The sequence below is a fragment of the Homo sapiens genome, chromosome 15 (genome assembly GCF_000001405.40).
Source record: "Homo sapiens chromosome 15, GRCh38.p14 Primary Assembly".
NCBI lineage: Eukaryota > Metazoa > Chordata > Mammalia > Primates > Hominidae > Homo > Homo sapiens.
In genome coordinates, this window is record NC_000015.10 from 96,876,833 (window position 1) to 96,878,289 (window position 1,457).

The window sequence follows — 1,457 nt, forward strand, 5'->3', positions numbered from 1 at the left end:
AGTGTATCATCAGAGAGGCGTCCCTGCAATGATTAAACACCAAGGGAAGGCTGCCTTCCCAGTCCGTGACCGGCGCCGGAGTTTTGGGTTCACGGATAAAACATGTCTCTTTTGTCTCTACCAGAAAATGAAAGGAATTGAAATTAAGAGAAGGGAGAGATTGAAGAGTGGAAAGGAGAAAGTGGTTGAGGGACAGTGAGAGAGGTTGGAGAAGAGAGTAAGAAGAGGCCGCTTACCTGATTTAAAATTGGTGAGATGTTCCTTGGGCTGGTCGGTCTGAGGACCTGAGGTCATAGGTGGATCTTTCTCACGGAGCAAAGAACAGGAGTACAGGGGCTTGATCTCCCAAGGGAGGTCCCCCGATCCGAGTCACGGCACCAAATTTCATGTGCGTCCATGTGAAGAGACCACCAAACAGGCTTTGTGTGAGCAACATGGCTGTTTATTTCACCTGGGTGCAGGCGGGCTGAGTCCGAAAAGAGAGTCAGCGAAGGGAGATAAGGGTGGGGCCGTTTTATAGGATTTGGGTAGGTAAAGGAAAATTACAGTCAAAGGGGGTTTGTTCTCTGGCAGGTAGGAGTGGGGGTCGCAAGGTGCTCAGTGGGGGAGCTTTTTGAGCCAGGATGAGCCAGGAAAAGGACTTTCACAAGGTAATGTCATCAGTTAAGGCAAGGACCGGCCATTTACAGTTCTTTTGGCGTGGAATGTCATCAGTTAAGGTGGGGCAGGGCATATTCACTTCTTTTGTGATTCTTTAGTTACTTCAGGCCATCTGGGCGCATACGTGCAGGTCACAGGGGATGCGATGGCTTGGCTTGGGCTCAGAGGCCTGATATCCATAGCTTCCAGTTTTCAGGTTCACCTGTGTTTCTCTGCTTTGAAAGTATTGCCATTTTCTCTGGTACTTTTGAACTGAGGCCACTTGTAGAATTCAGTGTTTTCCTTCCTGTAAATAGCACATTGGCGTAAGAGAGGAGGAAGAGGAAATGTATCTTTATTCTAATGAAATGGGTAAAAGCTGGCTTTTACTTTTAGCCAAAACACTCAACTGTGGCCACGTGAGGATTGCCTTCCTCATCTGTGTAAACGTCCTGTGCTACTGAGTGAACCAGCCCTGGACATCATGATGATTTTTCTTTATTGGTCCCTACCTCTTTGTGGGGATCACCCTGCGATACCCACCGGCTGCTGTTTTGTCAGACTATTTGGGACAAACTTTGCCTTCGTGGACTTCTGGGGCTACGTCACCAGGCTTTCTATCCTGCCTGTCATGATAAGCCTTTAATTATGCCAGTCCTGCCCTGCAGTGTATAGTAACTGTGGCATTGTTATGTAGCTTTGATTTGTTTACAAAATGCTGTTTGATGTTTTAAAGTGTACTCCCCACTTCCTTTGAGAGTGATTGTCTTATCACACCACCATAAGTGAGCACTTGGAATGAATTCCCCTTCCCCTTG

At 47.4% G+C, this 1,457-nt stretch overlaps 1 annotated feature.

Moving 5' to 3' along the window:
* Positions 471-1,101: an enhancer, noted in NCBI's record as "OCT4-NANOG-H3K27ac hESC enhancer chr15:97420533-97421163 (GRCh37/hg19 assembly coordinates)". NCBI's record gives its function as "activates a minimal SCP1, AML or CMV promoter by ChIP-STARR-seq in primed H9 embryonic stem cells {active_cell/tissue: H9 hESC(primed)}" and the evidence as "EXISTENCE:reporter gene assay evidence [ECO:0000049][PMID:30033119]".